Below are 23,790 nucleotides of genomic sequence, written 5' to 3'. Positions count from 1 at the left end.
AACAGACAACGGACAATGGCCAGACCACAGAACTCTGAGTTCTGCAGCCAACAGCCTGGGAAACCTCTGCAGCAAACAGCCTGGGAAACTAAACCACCACATTTGCACCATTGGCACAGCATATTCGGGATCTGTCAATAACTGAAGCTTCCCTAATTTGTGCTGTCATTTCCAACTCAGAACCAACCTGAAAAAGCCAAATATGTTCCCCAAATCCATCACAAAGAATGCCTGGCTTTTTGTTAGCCTGTGCCAGCTTCCTCAAGGGAAGGCCTACCCAAAGCCTTCCCTTCTACCACAGAGCCTTCCCACCCTGCCTGCTCTTAAGTCTCTGCCAAATGCAAGGGATGGTGGCTGATCTCCCTTACTAAAGCAACTCTGAATGAACAGCCTTTGCTCGTTCTCATTTGCGGGTTCTTATTTGTTCCCACAAGTCCTGTGGTCCTGCAGGATCATGCATATTTTTTGCAGATGCAGAGACTGATGTGCAGTCAACAGAAACCTGCAGAAGGTCATTATTGCCCAACAGGATCTCTCTGCCACTCCAATCTCAGAGCCCCCTACTTTCTCCCACCTCCTTGTGCTCATTGTCATTTGCTCTCACCATTAAATAATGCCATAAGCCTCCCCATCGGACCTGCAGTCACAGAAATCAGGGGCTAATGTTTACATTTCTCTTGGTGATTTTAATTTAAATGATTAGTTTCCTTTTGTCATAGGAAAAGGAATGCGAAACCTGGCCACACACTGAGGACAACTGATCATTTGTCTGTTCTTAACAAGAAGATACATTTTCTCCCATGCCAAAACAGACAGAGGAAGAGTGATGAGCACTGGGAACCATCAGAAATTCAGTCCAGTCTTTGGGGGAACTGAACTGGCTGATCTGGCTGATGCAGTCTGAGACACGTATATCCCAAGAGGGGGATGAACTTTCCTGGACACTGCTCATTAAACACCATTTTCTCCATTCAATTCCCATAGGTCCTGACTGAGTAGGACCAGTTTAAAAGCTCTATCTCAACAAAATGTTTAAGATACTAAAAATATTGTTATTTTACAATATTTAAAGTATTTGCTATATGAAAGCTGGTCTTACCCCCTGCCAGAATGGGATAAAACTACATATATAATTCAAAGGGATAGCAGGTACATATAGAAAGAACCATGAAATTTTAAACAATGATACTTAGGTATTCACCAAAAGCTCAAGGTTACTTGACAACCTGGGGACTTTTAAAATGCATAGACTGCAAATCTACTTAACATTTGAGACTGTCACATGCATGGCTGAGTTCATTAATGCCCCTCATCATGGGTAAAATCCTTACATTTTATTGTTGCTTAAATCCTAGAGGTCATGGTTAAGCAAATTCACTATGCTCAGGCAGCACGCTGTGGCTCCAAGTTCAGGTTATTGCAGCTCTAATTCTATCCTCTTGCCCTCACTAGACTTCAGTTTAGAAACTCTCGGCATTTCTATGGCGTTGGTCTTTATGTCTACCAAAAACACTTTACTAACTTAAGAACTGGTGGAAAATGCACAATATTTAAATTAAAAAAATCTCTCATAAGGTGGTGCCTTAAGACTAATTTATTTTTTAATGAAAATGCTATTACTTGTCATGACTCATTGCAGTGTCATTTTAGGTAGGATGATATAATAATTGTTTGGGCATTAAAAGTAAGCAAAGCACTATGCATGTATAATGTCTGTGTTATATAAGTAGGAAGGATGGTAAATCAGATGAGGGTAGAAGTGCTCCATGGAGGAGTGGGTGAGTCTTGAGGGTTGCTATGGTTTGGATATGGTTTGTTGGTCTCCACCAAAACTCGTGTTGAAATTTGATCCCCAGTGTGGTGGTATGGAAAGGTGGGGCCCATAGGAGGTGTTTGGGCCACTGGGCTTGGTACAGTTCTCATGGTAGTGAGTGAGTTCTTGCTGTGGTGAGGCTGGTCTGGTTCTTGAGAGAGTGGGTTGTTGCAAAGCAGGACAGCCCTTGGATTTGGTGCCTCTTTGTACCTGTCCACTTCCCCTTTGACCTTCCCTGCCATGTTATGACAAGACACAAAAGCTCCTGCCAAAAGCCAGGACCATACCCTCGAACTTCTCAGCCTGTGGAAGCTCAACAAGCCTCTTTTCTTTATAAATTACCCAGCCTCAGGTGTCGTGTTACAGCAACACTAAACAAACTAAGACAGAAAAGCAAATACCACAGTCTTTGGGTAGCTCAGCAGCAGGACAAGCAGTCGGACCATGCAATGGCACATGGATTGTCACTTCCAGTCACTACTCTGTCCTTGATCCTATACAATACATAAGTGAAGGCTGTGTCCTCCTGGAATGCTTATGTCTCTTTCTCCAGAGCATCATGACCGCCATGTTGTCAGGAAGCTCAGGCAGCCTATGGAAGGATCCACACGGTAAGGAGCTGAGGTCTCACACCAACAACCACATGCGCAAGCTTGGGAGGAGATCCTCCTTCAGCTGAACCTTTAGAAAGGAGCTTGACTATAACCTCTTCAGAATCCATGAGCTAGAACCACCTAGCTAGGCTACTCATGAATTCCTGAACCCCAGACATGGCAAGATCCCATTTGTTGTTTTAAGCTAAGTTTGGGTGCAATGTATTATGCAACAATAGATAATAGATATACCAGATAAGAAAGTCTGGGAAATGTGATTAGGATTATACTCGGGAAAATGTTTCAGTCATTCAAATGTGTATTATACTGATACTATGAACCAGGCACTGCACCAGGCACTGATATACAGCAGCTGACTAGGCAGATAATCCTGTTACCTGTCTTATGTTCAGGTGACTGTACTTCCTTATCTCCCATGCAACACAGCATAAGACTAACCATTTCTTGCCAGTGGACTGAGAATAGCTCATACGACTTCTGCGCCTTGAGCCATCAGCTTCCTCTTCTGTGCTCCCTTTGTTCTTGCTACCTACTGAAGACAGACTCGACCTGGTTTCAACCATGCAGAACATGTTAATGTCTTGGTAGTGATGGATCAAAACAAGTTAGAAACCTGGATTTCTGATTTACAAGAGCAGAGTCACTCCACTGACCTGATGGCTCAAAGCAGGGCCATTACATGAAATAATAAAAATAAACTTCTATGTTTTTTAAGCCCTTGACTGTTCAGTTTCTTTGCTGTAGCCTGAACCTTATTGACAAAATTTATAATCCAAAAGAAAAATGTATTAGACACATGATTGAAATAAACTGTATACAGTTACTCCAAAAAATGCAGCATCTTTCATGTATCAGATAGAATCCCGAGACAATTCTACTTTGGGCTTAGAGGACACATTTCTCTATCATTTTTACTCCTTGTATTTTTTTTTATCATTGTAGAATAAGAGTCAACAAACTATGGCCAAATCTAGCCCACCACCTATTTTGGTAAATAAAGTTTTATTGGAACAGAGCCACATTCATTTGTTTATGTGTAGTCGATGGTTGCTTTTGCACAAGTGCAGGGATGAGTGGCGGCAACAGACCAAATATTTACTCTATGACCCTTTATATGACAGAATCTTTCAATGCCTGTTGTAGGGTATATGTTTCAATGGTAAAATATTTTAGTGAAAACACTTTTCTATTAGCTCATTATTAAAACTCATAATGTCTACTTGTCCTGATTCTATTTTGAATCTCTGAGCAGCCAGGGTTTTTTTCTGTTACTTTCTTGAAGGAAAAAAATAAAACAAGCAATGCCTTTTTGAAGCACTCTTCTTTCTGAATGAGAGCAAAGCACACCCCCACCAGTGTTCTGCTCCCTTCAGAGGTGGCTGGAATGGTGCACTGTGGGCTGTAGCCACTCTAATTAGTCTTTAACTCTTGTCTTGGTGTGGATGATTCAGCCCTGACTTAGCAGTCAGACTTTCAAAAAAATACAAAAACACTCTTTGGAACAGCTTAGAGTAGGTGCAGTCATAGACACCTCTTTGCAGAGGTCTTTGAAAATACCACTGTACTATACTGTTACAGACATACCATGGCTCTAAGATCAATGACAACATAAAGCCCACTCAGGTATCTCACAGAGCCCAAACTGTATGTCACTTAGCAATATGACACAACCCCGTCTGGGGGTTCCAACCCTGGCCCAGTGATGACTGAGTCTTTGTGACAGTGGAACCTAAATACTCTGGGTGCCCAAGAGATGAGGCCACCTCAGCACAGATGCAACTTCCATGAACCTTAAAGCTCACCCTTGTGAGAATAGCTAAAACTCCTTTTGTCAAGGAAACACCTAGTTACCCACGGGGAATGAATACAGTATAAGAAAGAGGGAAGAAATCCACTAGCCTCTGAGGACAGTCTGGATGGAAACCCTGCCCAGGGCATCTGACACCTGACTGTATCTGGCCCATGCCAGCAGCTGCTCCCCACTTCCCTCTTGTGAGTGCCACTGAACAAACTGCCTGTGCACCAGGCGGGGCCTGAGACTCCCCTCAAGGAGAGTCAGAGGGAAGCGGAATAGTCACCTCTGGGGAAACTGGTTAACTAGAACCACCCAGGGCCCCAGAATGCACAAGCTCCCAGGGGATACTTATGCAATTAAGCCACCCCAGTTTAAGTTAGATGTGAACCTCAACAGTAGTTAGCATGATGGAAAAGACAAGTTTTAACAGCAAAGCTTCCTCCAGACCTCCCCATCACCTGCCTATGCGTCCCTGACCGCTCTCCTCTCTCCTGATCTAAGGTGCATTGGCTCTTGGTGCAGGAGGTCCCTCTGGCGCTGTGCCAGCCACCACACACCTGCTCCCACACGGTTCCCAGGGGAGGCTGTAAGAGTAGGTACTTACAGACAGCTTATTTTCCTGCCATGTTTGTGACTGACTGACTGACTCTAGGTTGCATACCCAGCAGCCATCCTCTTCTGTACCCCTCACCCCAGCTTCTGGGGAGATCTCCTAAAGGGCGTGGCCTGGGGGCTCCGGGGCGTGGCCTGTTGCTCTGAGGGCATGGCCTGAGCTCCGAGGGCGTGGTCTAGGCCTCATTCATCTGCAGCACCTGGCATACCAGCTTGCGCAGCTCCCTGCGTAAGACCCGTGGAAAGCAGTGAGCACGAGGAGGACAGAGTGCGGGTGGCAGCGAGAGGCACCCGCGGAGGCAGTTCTGGTGGAAGAGCCACACACACCTCAAAGGTCTGTCGCAGGGCTGGAGAATGGGTCAGGATGTCGGGACAAGCCCTTTCAGCGTGCAGGGCAAGTGCAGGGAGCACTCACTTGTGGAACAGCCTTTCTCCCTTGTCCTCTCGGGTACTCCTTGTTGTCTGCAGGACCTCCTGGCATGGGAGGACAGAGGGACAGAGAGCTAAACTCCTGTAGGGTTAGCGCTTCACCTCTCTGCTCAGGCTTCCATATCTCAGTCCTTAAAGTTATTGTAAAATCACAACAAATAACAATCCTCACCACCCAGGACCTTGAATTCATCCGTTGAATTTCCTCTACTGTTTCTTCCTGGCCACCCATTCCCCCAAAGAATGGCCTGAGTTAATCCATTCCCCTTATAATGTTTGGTCCTGGATAGTGAATCATGGTGCATCACCTTTTTAAAAATTACATTTTCATTTATGATTGACATGAAATAATGTTACACATTTATGAGGTAAGGGTGATCTTTCAGTGCACGTATAAGCTGTATAATAATCAAATCAGGATCGTGACCATATCTATCACTTTAGCCATTTCTTTTTGGTGATAACTCTTAGAGTTACATCTCTAACACTCTTGAAATACGCACTCCATTGTTATTTGCTGTAGTCACCCCACTGGGTCACAGAACACCAGAACTTATTCCTTCTAACTGTAACTTTGTACCCGTGGAACAACCTCTCCAATTTCTCCCTGCCCTCCCTAGCCTCTGATAACCACGATTCTTCTCTCAACTTCTGTGAAATCAACTTGTACAGACTCCACATATGAGTGACATCAGGCAGTATTAATATTTCTGTGCAGGGCTTACTTCACTTACTATCTTTCAATAGAACTTTTCCTCTCCATCTGTCTGGCTATGATTTCTGAGTCGAACAAACAGGGCCACATGACCAGCTGTTGAGGGACTCTACTAAACAAACTGGCACGGTCAAGCTCCACACCAACACCAACGTTCGTATTTTAAAGACATAAGGCACACACACAAAAATCAATTATCAGACATCTACACACCTCCTCTTCATGGCTTTTCTCTCCTGCAACAGAGACATTTCTAGATCCTAAGCCCAAACACACATCATTCATAATATTAATGGAGAAAAACTTGATTCATTTTTCTAAGAGTTGTATTATTATTGTCACCATTTTTATATTACTCTACACCCTGCTATTTTGGATTCTATCTAGAACACTCATTATCTATTCCTGACTTCCCTTTTGCAATGGACTTGAATTTCTTTGAATTTTGGGTAGAAAGGGAATCACTTCTCTATAAGAGGACATAGCAGAAGTATTCAAATTTCAATGTTTCAATAACATAGCTAATATTAGTGAATATTATAGTTAATATTAGTTTATATTAGTAAAATATTTCCCAAGATTCTTAAAACTTAATATAGGCATATATATTTGTAACAGACATGTAGATAGATAGACAGATATGGATATATATATATGAAAATTAACAATGAAAGATCATTCGGCTGCCCATCACCACTCCTGCTGACCCAGTGATGCCTTTTGATACATGATCCTCAGGCCGATTTCAAGCTGACTTATGTTTTAGCCCATAAATGTACTCATGTCACCTATTAATGTCAGGACTACGCAGGGCCTGAGACACAAAAGATGAAATATAAATGCTGTGGTTTGCTTTCAAGGGCTTTAGAGTCTTGTAGTCACATAGATGTGTGAAAATTCATTTAAAATATGAAACTTGCTGGGAGGGAGATATGTAGAAAATGCAGTGCAAACACAAGAGCGAGAACACAGTGTGGGGAAGTGATGGTTAGAGGATACAACTTTGAGCTGATGCTTGAAATTAGGATAGGAACTTTCTGGGAAAACCTGGAATTAGAGGCCATGCTAGGAAAAGAACAGCACACACAGAAAGCACAGGGTAACAAGAACAACATGTCACTTGAAATTAGTGAATCAGGTGGTGGTGGGCAGGTCCAGGGGGCCTAAGGGAGGTACAGGATAAAGTAGACCAATAGAAACTTTTAAAAAAGTATTGGTTACAAATTAAAGTTGTGTAGATATTACACTGAAATCACGGATACCACTGAGGAGTTCTGGGTGAGGCCAACTGACCTGGCAGGAGGATGACAGATTGGTTAGGGGGCAGTGGAGAGGCGATGCAGTAGTCCAGCTGAGAGGCATGCCTGCTGGACACTGGCAGAAGTGAAGGATGTGATTCATGCTTCTGGCCAAGATGAAGGAAGAAGGATTAGATATACCCTCCTGCCTGAAATAACTACAAAAAATGAACAAGATAAATGAAACAAGAGATTTGCAAGACAGACCCTGGGCAACAGTGTACGAGGTTCAGTAATCCCTGAGAAATGAAAATCAAAGGAGGTGACCCCTATGATTGTCCCAGCTAACTGGCTTAGAAGAGTTTCTGGGTCTTAGTGTGAGAAAGGAACACCCAGGGGGAAGCCAAGAGGACTCCTTGAGGTGAAGAAATGAAGCTGAGAGTATGGGAAGGCCAAGTTGGGTAGAGTTTGCAAGACAGAGTGTTAGAAGGCAAACTGCACAGAGATAAAATATTTGAAATGAATTTGAAAAATACAACATAGCAAAACATGCAGAATGTATCTAAACCAGAACTAGTAGAAAATATATTGCACTAAAGGCAATATTAAAGATAGACCTTAAATCAATCACCTCAGCTTTCACCTTAAGAAACTGGAAAAAGAAAAGCAAATTGATACCACATCTGCCTCCAAAAAATAGAAGAAAGGAAATATAAAAATCAGAGTAAAAATTAATGAAATAAAAAAATTGAGAAAATCAACTGAACTAAAAGCTGGTTATTTGAGATTAATAAAATTGACAAATCTATATCCAGACTGAGCAGGAAAAAGAGAAGACAAATTAGTTGTATCAAAAACCAGAAGAGGTGACATTACCATAGATTCTACTTATATTAAGAGGAGAATAAGAGGATATTTTAAAGAACTTTATGACAATAAATTGGTATCTGAAGTGACATGGACATATTCCTTATAAAACACAAATGGCCAAATTGCACTGAAGAAATAGATAATCTGAGTATCTTTATATCTATGTTAAAATTGAAATTTCAGTAAAAATTCTTCCCATAAAAAAACTCCATGTCAAGATGACTTCACTAGTGAATGTACTAACAATATCAGTAAAAAATAAAACCTACTGTCTACACACCTTCCAGAAAACTACAAAGGAGGGACTACATCCCAACTCATTATATGAGGCCAGGATTACCCTGATATCAAAACCAGAAAATGACATTGCAAGAAAAGAAAACTACAGAGCAATATACCTCACTGGGGATAGAAGCAATTTTTTTAAAAATAGTATATTGAATCCAACAACACATAAAAAGGAAGATGCATCATGATCAAGTGAGGTTTAATGCAGGAATGTAAGGTTGGCCTAGGATCTGCTCATCAATTAATGTAATTCACTGCAATAATTTAAGTAATCATATTAATAAACTAAAAAAGGAAAGCATATAATCATATCAATAGATGCAGAAAAATAATTTGTCAAAATTCATCTATTTTTGTGTTAAAAAAAACTCTCAGTAAACTAGAAATAGAAGAGAACTTCCTTAATCAGATAAATGGCATCTATAAATTCCTTGAGCTCAGCTTGGGCAATATAGTGAGAACCCCTCTTTACAAAAAATTCTTAAGATTAGCTGGACTTGGTGGCCTCTGTAGTCTCAGCTGCTTGGGAGGCTGATGTGGGAGGATTGCTTGAGCCTGGGAAGTTGAGACTGCAGTGAACTATGATTGCACCACTGCACTCCAGCCTGGGCAAGAGAGCAAGACACAGTCTCAAAGAAAAAAAAAAATCCTTGAGCTAACATGATACTCTAAAGGTAAAAGATGGCCAGGTGCAGTGGCTCATGCCTGTAATCCCAACACTTTGGGAGACTGAGGCAGGCAGATCATCTGAGGTTGGCAGTTCGTGACCAGCCTGGCCAACATGGTGAAACCCTGTCACTACTAAAAATACAAAAATTAGCCAGGCATGGTGGGGCATGCCTGCAATCTCAGCTACTTGGGAGGCTGAGGCAAGAGAATTGCTTGAACCCAGGAGGAGGAGGTTGCAGCGGGCCAAGATCACGCCATTGCACTCCAGCCTGGGCAACAAGAGCAAAACTCTGTCTCAAAAAAAAAAAAAAAAAAAAAGTAAAAGACTAGATGTTTTCCCCCTAAGATCAGGAACAATGTAAGGATATCTGCTCTCCATCTGTTAAACTTTTATATTGAAGGTTCTAGCCAATGTAATAACACATGAAAAAATAAAGAAATAGAAGACATATAGATTGGGCAGGAAGAAGTACAAGTGTAGTTATTCATAGATGATATAATTACTTATGCAAACTATAAAGAAAGGTATTAGCAAAGTTTCAGGATACAATATCAATATACAAAAATAAATTGTATGTCTATATACTAGCCACAAACAATTAGAAGTTCAAATAAAAAAATACCATTTACAATACCATCAAAAATGTAAAATACATGAGCATAAATCTGGCAGAAGATGTAAAACATATGTACATTGAAACCACATAGCATTACTGGGAGAAATTTTAAAAGACTGGAATAAATGGAGGAATAGACTGTGTTTGTATGTCAGAAGACTCAATATTGAGAGCTAATTCTCCCAAATGATAGATTTGATGCATTCCTAATCAAAATCCCAGCAGGACATTTTTTAGAAATTGACAGGCTATTTCTAAAATTTTTGTAGGAATGCAAAGCACCTAAAACAGTCAAAGTAACTTTGAAAGAGAAGAACAAATGTGCAGGATCAAAATCTGATTTCAAGGTTTATTAGAAAGCTACAGTAATCCAGACAGTGTGATAAAGACAAACAGATTGATCGATGGAACAGAACAAAGTCCATAAAACCAATTTTTTGACAAAGGTAAAAACCAATGCAGAAGATAATCTTCAGCATAAAGTACTGAAAGATGGGATATCCATAAGCAGAAAAAAAAAGAATTCCAATCCATACTTCATATTGCATACAAATATTATCTCAAAATGAATGATTGATGTAAATGTAAAATTGAAAACTAAAACTTCCAGAAAAAAAAAATCAGGTCCAGGTGTGATGGCTCACGCCTGTAATCCCAGCACTTTGGGAGGCTGAGGCGGGCAGATCACCTGAGGTCGGCAGTTCAAGACCAGCCTGACCAACATGGAGAAAACTCATCTCTTCTAAAAATATAAAATTAGCCAGGCATGGTGGCACATGCCTGTAATCCCAGCTACTTGAGAGGCTGAGGCAGGAGAATTGCTTGAACCTGGGAGGTGGATGTTGCAGTGAGCCGAGATCCTGCCATTGCACTCCAGCCTAAGCAACAAGAGCGAAGGTCACTCTCAAAAAAAAAAAAAAACCAGGAGAAAATCTTCTTGACCTTGCATTTGGTGATGAGTTTTTAGATAAAACACCAAAAGCATGATCCATGAAAAGAAAACAATTGATAAACTGGACTTCATCAAAATTGAAAACTTCTGCTTTTAAAAGACACAGCTGAGAGAATGAAAAGGCAAGCTGCAGACTGAGAGAAAGTATTTGCAACGTCCATACTTGATAAAGGACTGGTAGCTGGAATGGAAGTGCTCGCTCAAATCATGTTTCCTAGTTGGGACCAGCATGGTCCTTGAAGACCTGTGTCTGTTCATGTAACTCCCTGCCTAATGCTTTCGGCGCTTCCCTTCGCTCCGATGTGAAGCCCAGGGAACCTGGGTTGTCTTCCACCTGTCTCTATTGCTGTATCTCAGGTACCCACCCTTTGCTGTCTGTTAGAAATAAGGCTTAGAGTTTTAAGGAAAAATGAGTATTTAGATAAAGGATTTTTATTAAAATAAATTTATTTTTGCATAGACGGGTGTTTTTTGTACGGCTGGTTGTTATGAGAGTATTTAGAACAAAGGAGAGTAGAAGTTTTTATTTTTAATATGACTTGTTTTTGCGTTTCATTTTCAACTGACATTGGCTTTTATACTATAGAAGTGACTGGGGGCAGGCTTAGGGTCAGCGGAGGTAGAGGTAGTAATAGAAATAAGGATAGGTTTGTATTGGTGAGATTGGCAATTAGGGAGAGTGGGTTTTTTGGTAAAATGGAGGAGGGGCTTTAGATTGATGTAAACTTTTTTGTAGAGGTTTAACTTTGGTATGGGGTGGTTTAAAGGATGTAGTTTTAATTATTATAAGGTTGTTAGGCTGTGGGAGTAAAGGAACGGTGTTTTGGTTGTAGATGATTATAATGGTGAGAACTAGGGTTAATTGTAGAAATTAGAGGAATAGGGTAGAGATATTTATTTGAAGAAGTTGGTTGTTTTTGTTTTTTTAAATTTTTATAAGGTATAAAAGATAAGTATTAAGAATAATGGTTTGGGGTGAGTTAGATTCAGTTATATTAATAGTGAATTAGTAATAGAGTGAGGAAAGAGGGAGAGACGATATAAAAGGTATAAAAGAATTAAGAATTAAGATTTTTTTGTTTTAATTTGGTAGGGCTTGACTTTGGAATAATGGCTTATAATTTTGAAGGTGATGGTGGTGGTTTTTTGACTTAGGTGTGGTGAGTTTACTTTTTTGTTGTTGTTTGGATTGTAGTTTTAGTAGTTAGGAGTATTCATAAGGTTTTTTTTTTTTTTAAGCTGGTTTGAGGGTTTTTTATAAATTTTTTGACGAGGATGTGATTTTTAGGTTGGTGTTGATGTGCTGGGAGCTTTAGGGGTAGTGTTTGTGTTAGGATACTTTGTTTTAAGAGAAAAGAAAGTAGACTATAGGTTTTGAGGAACTGATGTTTGGTTTTAAATGTAGGGACATTAGTAGTACAATGTAAATAAGGCAGTTCATATAGTATTTTATAAGGGGATAAACTAATATTTTTGAGGGGCAGTTTTGATTTTTAATAAGGCAGTGGGGAAGCATTTAGTTTAGGGTAATTGGGTTTTTAGGACTAATTTGGTTAGGTGGATTTTTAGAGTTTGATTTTTTTTTATTTTTATTTTTTGAAAAGGATGGATGCTAAGGGATATGGTACTTTTATTTTATGTTTAGTATTTGGGCTAATCTCACACTCTCTAACCATTTCTCCAGTTTCTCCAGAGGCCGCTGTCTGTTTCTTCTGGCTTCTAGATCCTCCCTCTGCTGTTACTTCTGATTTGAATCCTGCCCTCTCCTCTGTGCCCCTCCCTTGCCCAACAGTCTCTCAGCTCAAGGGAGCGGCCCTTCCCATCCCCTACTATATCTGGCACGTCTCCCCGGTATATGTTCTCAAAGCATCCTGTGCTTCTCTTTTCCAGCACTTTTCTTTTTTTTCTTTTTCTTTTTTTTTTTTTTTGACAGAGTCTCGCTCTTTCGCCCAGGCTGGAGTGCAGTGGCGCGATCTCGGCTCACTACAAGCTCCGCCTCCCAGGTTCACGCCATTCTCCTGCCTCAGCCTCCGGAGCAGCGGGGACTACAGGCGTTTTACCACTGCAATTTATTAAGCGACAGTCCGTCCGGTGGTTGTCTAAACATGGGACCATATGCACTGTCTCAGCCTGCAGTATGACCCCACACATAAAAAGAATTCACAAATATGTGTGTAAGAAATCATAACTGAATACCATTAACTTTGCAGAGATGAGTCAGGCATAGCATTTGGGGTTTATAAATTGAAGTTTAAAAATTTTCCCACAGATAGATGGAAAGAAAACAAAGGTTTTAAATATTTTGGGTTCCATCTGTGCATCGGACGCTCCTATCTGCTCCTAAAATGGCTAATCACAGGTCTCATCTGCTTGTTTGAGAAAGTGTTTGACAAGTTCAAACCTCTTAATGTGGGGAAATATCCTAGTATCAGTCGTTTCTGTCATAGAAGGAACAGCTAGAGGAAATTAGGACCTGGTGACTTCAGCAGAAAACAGCATTACATATTGCAGGTTAATTTTCTCAGGACTTAACAGTTTACAGATGACTGACCACAGGGGTTGAGATCAATGGATCACTAAACTCTGGAAAACAAGATTCTGGCTGTAACGCCACATTTCTGTGCTAAATTTAAATCACCTTTGTTTCTCCGTATAAGCCCTAGTGGTAAATTTCTCATCGATTTCTTTCCGAGAAGTTTACGGTCACTGTCACCTTGTCATGACTGCTGATGCGGCACTAGCGTTCTGCATTATCTGTGACAGCCCCTGGCATTGACCTAAGTGGGTTTTGATGGTTCCCTTTCCAAAGTGGAATTTATTTAATATTTATCCTGGGCTACAATGGGAATGAGAGTCCGGTTGATTCAAAACCAGTAGCTCTCACCTGTGCCAAATCAATATAGTAATCAGTGGAGAAAATATGTGTTTCTCTCTTGCAGAAAATAGCACTAGGCATGGTGAAGAAAGAAAGAGGAAACATATAAGTTAGTGCACTCTCTGTTATCTCAAAATTATTTGCTGATTTAAAAAAATGTATTTATTTTGTGCGGAAAGTGGCACTAAGCAGAATAAAGAAACAGAGACAAGGCATATAATTACGTGGACTCCATTTTCTCAAAATCATTTGCAAATTTTAAAAAGAACCTTAATTCAATAGATTTCTTCTAAGTCATGTAATTGTTTTCTGATTCTACATACGCTTCCCTACAAAGTTCTCCAATAGTCGAAGACAATATCTACACCAGGTAAGGACATCGTCCCACTTCAAATGAGTAAGAATGACAAACATGTGACGGAAATGTGTGAGCTTCCTCAATACTCAGATGGGGTAGGGGCGGCAATGAGAAAGGTGACCCAGGTATCAACCTCTGACGCTGCAGAACTGGGTCCTGAGAAGAAACTGTTCACTGAAGAAGGGAAGTAGAGATGGAGAAAGGAATCACTAAGGCCCTCAGTGGTGATGAGCTCTACACATCCTGTTGCATTCTTGCTTTGGACATAGCACTCTTACCATCAGCAATGTGGAGAGGGATCTTGTTTAAAGACACCCAGGATTACTGGGTAGAAGAGTCCACAGACTACCTCCAGCTTAGACCTCAAAACAGCAAACAGACGCAAATGCGCGGGAGGGCCCATTAAAGACCGAGGCACTCAGCTCCCCTTGCCTGGTGCACGTGACCTTTCCTTCTCCTTCAGGGACACATGGTCTCCTGCCATCGCCTTAGCAAGGATGCCCAGATGCAGGATGTTTATCATTGACTTCTGCTCTAATGAAGGAAGTCTAGAAGGGAAAGAATTTGAGAGAGCATGGCTGGCTGGAAGGCATGATGGAATCTTTCCTTGGGGATTCGTTGGAAGAGAGGGAGAAAGAAACCATAAAGAGTAAAACCATTTAGTGAAGAGGTTTTGGGCATACATAAGATGCAGCCAAAATGGAACCCAGAGGCTTACAGGGAAAATAACAGAAGAAACATTATTATTGGCCTAAACTCTCAGATATAAATATAGAGAGTGGAGGCATTTTTATTCTAATAGAAGTGTAACAATGTAAAAGCATCCTTTGTTTGGGTTGAAATAAACTTTTCAATAATCTTGCAAGGTAAGAAGTTGCTCCCACAGATGGAAATACGCCAGGGAAGGTTTATATGAAGAAGAAAGGAAAGGGATAGTTTTTACTCATAAGTCTTTGTCAACAAAAATGTCAGTTTGATGAATATCAAATATATTTCATATGTTTTAAAAATATTTTACATATTTAATTACACACCTTCATATTCAATTACATACACATATATTAAAAATATATATATACATATATATATGTATATATATGAATACTGTAGTACGTAAGGGTGTGTGATGGGGATTAACAGCACCCCTGCCCATCTCACCAACCCGAATCCCTCCATCTTGAGCAGAGACAGTGGCACTGGGGGGACTGGGGAGAGATTCATTCTTTCCATTCTTTCCAGTCCTGACAGTTAACTGCAGATCTCTAGGTAATACCTTCTCATTAAAATACATCTTGATTTATCAATTTTAGACTCCAATACATCAAACCAGTCTTCCCAATATGGATATAAGACTATTAGTTATATTGGTTACCTTTGTAACTTTAAATAATCTACCTCCAACCATTTTCTTCTTCTAGAGACACCTTGATTCCTAGTGCAATAGAATAAGCTGACCTTTGCTTCCATCCTTTCCTCCCATTCCTCAGATCCTAATTTCTGTCATTTATAAACATAATTAAAGTTTGCGTATTTGTTTTTAAAGTTGAAAATCAATAAATAATTATCATGATTGTGACTATGCAATGTATACTTTTTTAAACCCACAAAACAGGTAGAATACTACTGTAGAATACCATTGTGTCCTTGTATTTCCATGCATCCTGTGCGTTTCCCCGTGATTTCCTCTTTCTGTCCTGTGCTGCCCCGTGTCATACCTCTCAGTGCACACCTGCCTCTTCCCAGAGCCTCACTCCTGCTCCCGACCACATCAGCTCATTAGGACAGGTTCTCCAGCCTGCCACCCAGCAACACCTGGGGCCCCTTCATCAGGCCCCTATGTTGGCCTTCCTGTTTCCTGGATCCAGTGTCTTTCTTGACATTTGATTTATCATGCCATTTTGCTGGAAGGAGGCCAACTGTCTGAGTCCTTGAACATACAATCATCCCTCAGTATATGTGGTGGATGGGTTCCAGGACCCCACAGACACCAAAATCTACAGATGCTCAAGTCCCTGAGATAAAATGGCATGGTGTTTGCGTCTAACCTATGCACATCCTCCAGCACAATTTAAATATTTTTTATTTACGATTGGTTGAATCCTTGGAATGCAGAACTCGCAGATAAAGACCTACTGTTTACAGGTGTCTTTATTTTACCGTGCACCATGTTATAGACTGAATTTTGTCCCCTAAAATTCATACGCTGAAGTCCTATGCCCCCATGTGACTGTGTTTAGAGATAGAGCCTTTAACAAGGTGATTAAGGTTAAATGAGGTAGTAAGAGTGGGCCCTAATCCAACAGGACTGATGTCCTCATTCGAAAAAATAGATGGGGACTGCCTGAGTAAGAAAAGGCCATGTGAGGACACAGCAAGCAGCATCTGCAAGCCAAGGAGAGAGGCCTCAGGGGAAACCAGCCCTGCCCACACATTGATCCTGGATTCCCAGCCTCCAGAATGGAGAAAATACATTTCCATTGTTTAAGCCCCACTGTCTGTGGTACTTAGTTATAGCAGCCCGGGCAGACTAGGACAACACATGATAGACAGGAGTCCCGAGGATGGAAATTAGGACACAACATTATTTTTCTGGAGAAGTTTCAACACATCTTCCCAGGCCCTTTGTCTTGCAACATCCAGTGTCACTGAGGAAGATTCTCAATCTATCTAATTCTCTTTCCATTCACAGCTGAATTTGATCCCTGGGGTCGCAAAATTTCACAGACAGGTGTTGTGGTACAAATTTCTGTTTTTCTAGCCATTGAATTTGGCGTTTGATCTTCCCCATATGTGGATTCCCTACTCCACCTGCCTTCCACCTTCCAAGATATTTCACATAATATCTTGTCTCCATTGTAAATGAAGTGCCATTTAATACCTCATTCAATGGAAAGGATGGTGGAAAGAGGGATGAATATGCACCTTCCCTCTCTATCTGCTAAGTGAAGAGACTTACTGACAAGTTAACCCCCAGAAGGCCAAGAGCTCTTCTCAACTTAACTCTTACTACCAATGGAAGGGTGTGGAGGAGCTGGGAACTCTAAGAGAGTAGGACCTTGCTGCCCTGGAATTAGTAAAAGTAAGGAAATAATGATTTCTTTGCATCTCAAGTAGACACATTCTCAAGGCTTTGAGACAACAGGAGAGCCTGTAAAGCTATGTCCTGACTACAATAAGTAGAAACAAGGAGGCTCTGCAGAAAGCCTCCGCTCTGCTCACCCTACCAAAGGACATCCCCAAGACAGAGAAGGACGGAGCCCAATGGCACAAAGCTGCACCTCCAAACTGGCAGGGGAGTGAGTGGCAGATGTCAGGAAGCTAAAGCCTCCTGATAGGCTGAGTAGTCACCACATGACCCAGCAATGCCACTACTTCCTTTAACCAAAGGAAGGGAAATCAGTACATCAAAGAGATACTGCAGCCCCATGGTTACTGCAGCACTATTCACAATAGTCAAGACAGAATCAACTTAAGTGACCAAACAGACGAATAAAGAAAATGTGGTGTATACATGGAATACCATTCAGCCATAAAAAAGAATAAAACCCTATCATTTGCAGCAACATGGATGAGTCTGGAGTTCATTATGTTAAGCAAAATGTCAGGCTCAGATAAATACCACATGTTTTCATGTAAATGTGGAGGCTAAAAGGAAATGTGAGCTCACAGAAGTAGGATGTAAACTGAGTATTAGAGGCTGGGAAGGCGTGTTGGAGGAGGCTGCGGAGAGAAGAGGTTGGCTATTGGATACAAAACTATGGCCAGATAAGAGGAATGAGTTCCAGTGTTCCGCAGCACTGTAGGGTGAATACGGTTAACTATAACTTACTGTACATTTTCAAAAAGCTGGAAGAGAGGATTGTGAATGTTCCTACTACAAAGATATGATAAATATTTGAGGTGGTGGATATGCTAATTACCCTGATTCGATCATTGCATACTGTATGCATGTATGGGAATATCACTCTGTATCCTGTAAATATGTACAGTAATTACATGTCAACTAGAAATAAAAGGGCAAAGAAAGTGCTAAGCAAAAGAGTCTTCTTTTGCTTTGGTCTCAGAGCAAGCCAAAGGAAGCATCAGGCTGGCAGTGTAACCCGAGAAGGCCAGGAGGGTGCAGTGTGTGCCCCACGGCTCACACTCAGCTATGCAGAGGGTGCAGAGACTCTGGAAAATGGTCCCGCATGCTGCATGGGTCACTCAGAACCAGGAGTTACAGAGGAGCCATTTCTCAGGCTGCGAACAAGGTGAACCTGGAAACTAGAGGGGGAGGAGAGACAGAGGTGAATGGTGCAGGCACTTTTTAAAATATCATGCTTTCATTACTATTGTTTATGTTGGGCATTAAAATTACCATGATACTGAAATAAGGTAATAAGGTATAGCTTTATATGCCTAATCCTGTTTGCACCCACTAACCATGGGTGCCTGAGGTCACCTCCCCACTTAGGCTGCCCTCAGAAATTGCAATTTTCCCTTACAATGCCCTCGTGAGGCCATGGCCACCCCTCAGCCCGTCATTACCCATTAGCAAGGACAGCAGGGCGTTTCCAAGGAAGCTGTGGGGAATCCACAAATCACTTGATTGTTCTTTAAATATAAATAGCATTTTCCCTTTTGAACTATGAAGCCTTATAACTTTATTAACTAAAATAAGAAAGACCTCACGCTGGGCACAAGGCTCACGTCTATAACACTTTGAGAGGCAGAGGTGGGAGGATCACTGGAGCCCAGGAGTTCAAGACAAGTCTGAGGAACATAGCAGGACCTCATCTCTATAAAAAGTTAAAAAAAAAAAAAATAGCCACGTGTGGTGGTGCATGCACATAGTCCCAGCTACTTGGGAGGCTGAGGCTGGAGCCCTGCAGTGAGCTACGATCATGCCACTGCACCCCAGCCTGGGCAACAGAGCAAAACCATGTGTCTAAAATTTTTTAAAATTACAAAATCCTCTCAGTTTTCCAGAACTGGAAATGGTAGGTACAGCTTCTTCAATAAATGGTGCTGGGAAAACTAAATATCCCCATGCAAAGAATAAAACTAGATGGACCCTTATACTATAAATGAAAATCAACTCAGAAATATCTTAAAGACTTCAATGTAAAACCTGAAACTATAGAACTTCTAGGAGAAAACAGGGAAAAAGCTCCATGACATTGGTCTGGGCAGTGATTTTTTTGAAAATGATCCCAAAAGCACAGACAATAAAGGCAAAACCAGAAAAATGAGACTGCACCCAACTAAAGGATACAATCAACAAAGAGACAACCTATAGAATGTGGGAAAATATTTGCAAATTGTACATTCGATAAGGGATTAATACCCTAAACATACAAGGAACCCAATTCAATAGCAAGAAAATAAACTGATTTTAAAAAGGACAAAGGACCTAAAGAGACACCTCTCAAAAAAAAAATGGCCAACAGGTTTATTAAAAAATGATCCATACCACTAATCATCGAAGAAATGCAAATTAAAACCACAACGAGGCATCACTTCACAGTTAGAATGATTATGATCAAAATGACAAAAGATAATTCTTGGCAAGGATGTGGTAAAAAGGGAACCCTAGTGCATTGTTGATGGGAATGTAAATTAGTATAGCCATTAGAAAAAAACAGCATGGAGGTTCCTCACAAAATCAAAAATTGAACTGCCAAATGATCCAGCAATCCCACTGCTGGGTATCTGTCCAAAGAAATGACATCAGTATGTCCAGGAGACGTCTGCAGTCCCGTGCTTTGCAGCAGTATTCACAATATGACATGGACCTAAGGGCCCTTCAAAGTGTAGCAGTGGAACAGCAAAAGAACTAACATAACTCACTCCATTTTTGTTTAAGGGGTCTTTACCCATTCCTGTGCATAGGATAGGATAATCTTAGAGCACTGAGGTAACAGGCAAAACCAGGAATCATGTGGTTTTTAAAACTAACCTGGGGTTAAAGAAGACGTATGTAAACAACTGACCACGTTTTGTTAATGATTTATAGAAGCAAAGACTGTCCTGACCAAGGACAAAGGAGTTCCCACCCTCCTCAGAACCTTGCTGGCACCCCGAAATGTCTGAGGTCATCGGTCATATCTTGATCCCAGCCCCCTTCTCTTCTCCCCGCCCCCCCTACCCTTAACATAAGAGCCTAAAATTTGGGTTTGTTTTCTTTTTTTTTTTTTTTGAGACGGAGTCTTGCTCTGTCGCCCAGGCTGGAGTGCAGTGGCGCCATCTCGGCTCACTGCAAGCACTGCCTCCCGGGTTCACGCCATTCTCCTGCCTCAGCCTCCCAAGTAGCTGGGCCTACAGGCGCCCTCCATCGCACCCGGCTAATTTTTTGTATTTTTAGTAGAGACGGGTTTCACCATGTTAGCCAGGATGGTCTTGATCTCCTGACCTCCTGATCCGCCCGCCTCGGCCTCCCAAAGTGCTGGGATTACAGGCATGAGCCACCACACCCGGCCCCTCTGTCCTTTCTTTCTAGGTCACATCTACTCTGACCCTCTTGCCTCCCTCTTACAAAGACCCTGGTGATTGGATTGGGCCCACGTGAAGAATCCAGTATAACCTCCCCATCCCAAAATCCATAACTCAATCACATTTGCAAAATCTCTTTTGCCATGTAAAATAACATAGACACAGGTTCTGGGAATTAAGAAGTGAACATCTTTGGTGGAGAGAGAGGGTCATTATTCTGCCTTCCACACTCACTAACAATGGGTAAAAAGTCACTAAACACATGCTCTTCCCGTTTCTAGGGAGCTTTGGCATCTTCAAAGCCAATTTGGAAGAAAGGTGCTGTGCATCCCCAGAACCTGCCCACCCTGAAGGCAGCAGACCTGGCTACCAGCCTGGCTCTGCCCTCAGCAGATGTATCATCCCCTGCTCCTGTGAGCTGAAGTTCAGAAATCAGCATTTCCAAGGTCTGGGAGGATGCATGTGATAAAATACATAAGGTGCTTCCTGGAGCTGAATAAGTACCAGGATTTAAAAGAGTGAGGACAGATCATCAATACATTTCCAAAAAAAAAGGAAAGATGAAAATGGAATACAAGCTGCCATTTGAAAAGATATCGGTAAAAGGAATGGTCTGAAACAGAATGGTAACTGTGAGAACAGGCAGCACCCAAACACCTATTTAGTTCCGTTTTGTCCCTGAGTAAACTAAGAGTGAAACAAGATCTGAGAATCCTAACAACTCTGATCACTGCCATGGTCTGGGTCCTATAGAATTGGCACGTGGCAAGGGTTCTACCTGCCAGGAAAGTCTGTTAGAGAATCATCCCACGGCACTGACTGTACCACCCTTGGTGTTTGGAGCTTGGGACTCTTGATTTCACAGGACATTCTCGAGGAGGAATCCAGCCCAGGGGGTAAGAGGCAGAAGGGTGGATCCACAGGCTCCTGCTCCCGCCACCCCAGGTTTGCCTGAGGATGAGCCCTGTGGGGAGGAGTGCAACTTGTTGCCTGCTTGGCATCAACAGTGAAGCCCACAGGAGGCAGCCGCTGTCAGGCAGCCCTGGGAGCAGGAAGGAGTCTATGTAGAGCCAGGATCTTTGCAGGGGCTGGGCCTGGACAAACTGCAAAGGCCTGAGCAGAGGGATCAGAGCCCAGAGTGGCCGTGGGAGGCATCTGGTGCAGGGGGTATCAGGGCCGGCTGTGGTTGCACCTCCCAATTCTGTCTCAGAGCACCCCAGGCACCTCACCTCTCATTCCATGTCTGTCTGTCTGTCTGTGTCTGTCTCTCTCTCTCTCAATAAAGCTCTAACTATTTGTCTCCCTGCTCCCTGACTTTGTGCCTACCCAACTGTGCTCTATTTCCACAGAGCAGTGCTATGACCTGGGTGTTTGTGTCCCCCCCAAATTCATACATTGAAATCTATCTCCCAAAGTGATTATTTTAGAAGAAGGAAGGGCCTTTGGGAGCTCTCACAAATGGGATCTGCACTCTTATGAAAGAGGCCCCTGAGAGCGGCCTTGTCCTTTCCACCATGTGAGGTTAGAGTGAGAAAACGGCCACCTATAAACCAGGAGGTGGGCCCTCATCACGCACTGAATCTGCCAGCACCTTGATCTTGCACTTCCCTGCTTCCAAAACTGTGAGAGATGAGTTTCTGTTGTGTATAAGATACCCCATTTGTAGTATGTTGTTACTGCAGCCCAAAAGACTAAGACAAGCAACCACAGAGAAGATCCATACAAACTAGAAAATGCAACTCCCTTAACTAAACAACACAGTAGCGTACTCAGAAGAACAGGCGAGAACCCTCCTGTGTGACATGCTCCATCTGACGGCATCTCTCCCCTGCGCCTTCTCGAGAGTCCCTGGCCTCTCCCTGGCCCTGCCTCCCTCCCTCTGGAAACCTCGCAGCCTGGTTCTTTCCTCCCCAGCCTGCATCCCCACCTGGCATATCTCCAGGGGCGCCTGTTAGTGTGTGGAGCCGCTGAAGGCCAGGGACCTGCATTGTCGCCAGTGCATTCCAGGGCTGGGTTTCTGCAGCTATTTGAAGAATCCAAAAACTACAGAAAAACAAGTTCTCCAAAGAAACTCAGAGACTCTTCAAAGCAAGGTTATTATAGTCAGTAATTTGGACAATTAATTTCAAGCATGAGATCAGGTCACTTCTTTCGTTATGGGGAAGAAATGTCAATTGGAAAGCGACATAACCTCTGAGGATGACTCTATTTAAACCAGGAAATTTAAAATATCACCAGCCAGTCATTCATTCCTCTCCTTAATGTGAAATTGAGCTACTGCGAGAAGCTGAAAATAAAGGAACCAAAACTCAGCTCATGGTAAAATGGAAATTATTCCTTCCCATTCCATTATATTGCAAAAGACAACCCGGCTGGCACAGTGGCAGATGAAGGCCTGAGCCCCCGACTTGCCAGGGAGATCAAGAAGAGAATTCTGCCTTTTCCATCGAGGGAAGCTCCTGCGGAATGGGAAAGGGCTGTGGGCGCCTGAACTCTCAGAGCCTGATGCAGCCGCTCTGCCCCTGTGTCCAGCTTCCCAGAGGATGCTTAAGCCAGAGGGAGGCTCTTGCCTTTAAAATGCATTTCATAACTTACAGTAGAAGGCATCAATACTCCCAGGGACAGGAAACCCTCAGGTGAATTTCCCCAGGTGGGGAGTTCTCCTGTGGCAGTCAGATTCTCAAAGCCATAAGGAGACAAATGGGCCAGCTGAGTGGACAGCTTGGGGAGGGAAGAGCAAGCAGCCTCCACGCTAAGGCAGAAGGAGAGGGGACAGGAAAGGGGTGGCAGCCACCATGACCCTGCAATCCAGCCTCAGGCCCCTCCCAGCATCCCAGGGCTGGGGTGTGGAGCTGCTCTGGCCATTCTTGCATGAGTCAATCCATTCCCTAAACACCCAAACCCTCCCATGTGAAAAAGATGGGCCTATGATTTGATGCGTCCAGCCTTTGCGGTGCCTTCTTAGGGAGTCCCTTCCTGAGAGACAGACACACACTCCAGCAGTGGGTCCAGCAGCCCGGTGACTACATGAGTGACACCCAGAACTGTTCCGTGTTCGTTCTGTGAGCCTGCCATAGGCAGCATCGATTCGGCGTGGTGTCTAAACGTGCAAGGCGCAGCCCGGAGCAGTGACCTCAAAACCATCTGAGACCTGGGCTGGTGTCGGGGCCAAGGCTCTTTTTTGGTCAAAGCAAATGGACCTCAAGTAAGCTGTCACAGCCCTTGAAGACACATGGCCAGATTACAACAAAGCCGGTGTTGGAGACTAACAAATGGATTACAGTTTAGAATTTTAAATCACTAGACAGTGTGCTGTGCAATTATTTATAACAAAATCCTCCAGACACGGACCTTTTGGATCCTGAGTTTCTTTATCCATAAGATGATGAGGTTGAATTATCTCAGAAATCTCTTCCAGATACAATATTCTGCCTGGGGTCAGACCTGCAGGTGGGAGGTGCCCTCTCTCACTAA

The 23,790-nt window shown here is 42.5% G+C and overlaps 1 protein-coding gene across 2 annotated transcripts in view, besides 2 other annotated features; it reads right to left on the bottom strand.

Annotated features, from left to right (window-relative positions):
* The window catches only part of GABRG3 (gamma-aminobutyric acid type A receptor subunit gamma3), a 570,804-nt gene that overhangs the window by 265,521 nt on the left and 281,493 nt on the right, over positions 1–23,790 (bottom strand). The gene's annotated exons all lie outside the window — the stretch shown is intronic.
* Positions 4,612–5,112: an enhancer, noted in NCBI's record as "H3K4me1 hESC enhancer chr15:27516499-27516999 (GRCh37/hg19 assembly coordinates)". NCBI's record gives its function as "activates a minimal SCP1, AML or CMV promoter by ChIP-STARR-seq in naive H9 embryonic stem cells {active_cell/tissue: H9 hESC(naive)}" and the evidence as "EXISTENCE:reporter gene assay evidence [ECO:0000049][PMID:30033119]".
* Positions 21,367–21,871: an enhancer, noted in NCBI's record as "H3K4me1 hESC enhancer chr15:27499740-27500244 (GRCh37/hg19 assembly coordinates)". NCBI's record gives its function as "activates a minimal SCP1, AML or CMV promoter by ChIP-STARR-seq in naive H9 embryonic stem cells {active_cell/tissue: H9 hESC(naive)}" and the evidence as "EXISTENCE:reporter gene assay evidence [ECO:0000049][PMID:30033119]".

Source organism: Homo sapiens, chromosome 15, assembly GCF_000001405.40.
Source record: "Homo sapiens chromosome 15, GRCh38.p14 Primary Assembly".
Taxonomy (NCBI): domain Eukaryota; kingdom Metazoa; phylum Chordata; class Mammalia; order Primates; family Hominidae; genus Homo; species Homo sapiens.
Note: the sequence above shows the minus strand (reverse complement) of the source record. Positions and strands in the feature narration are given on the sequence as shown.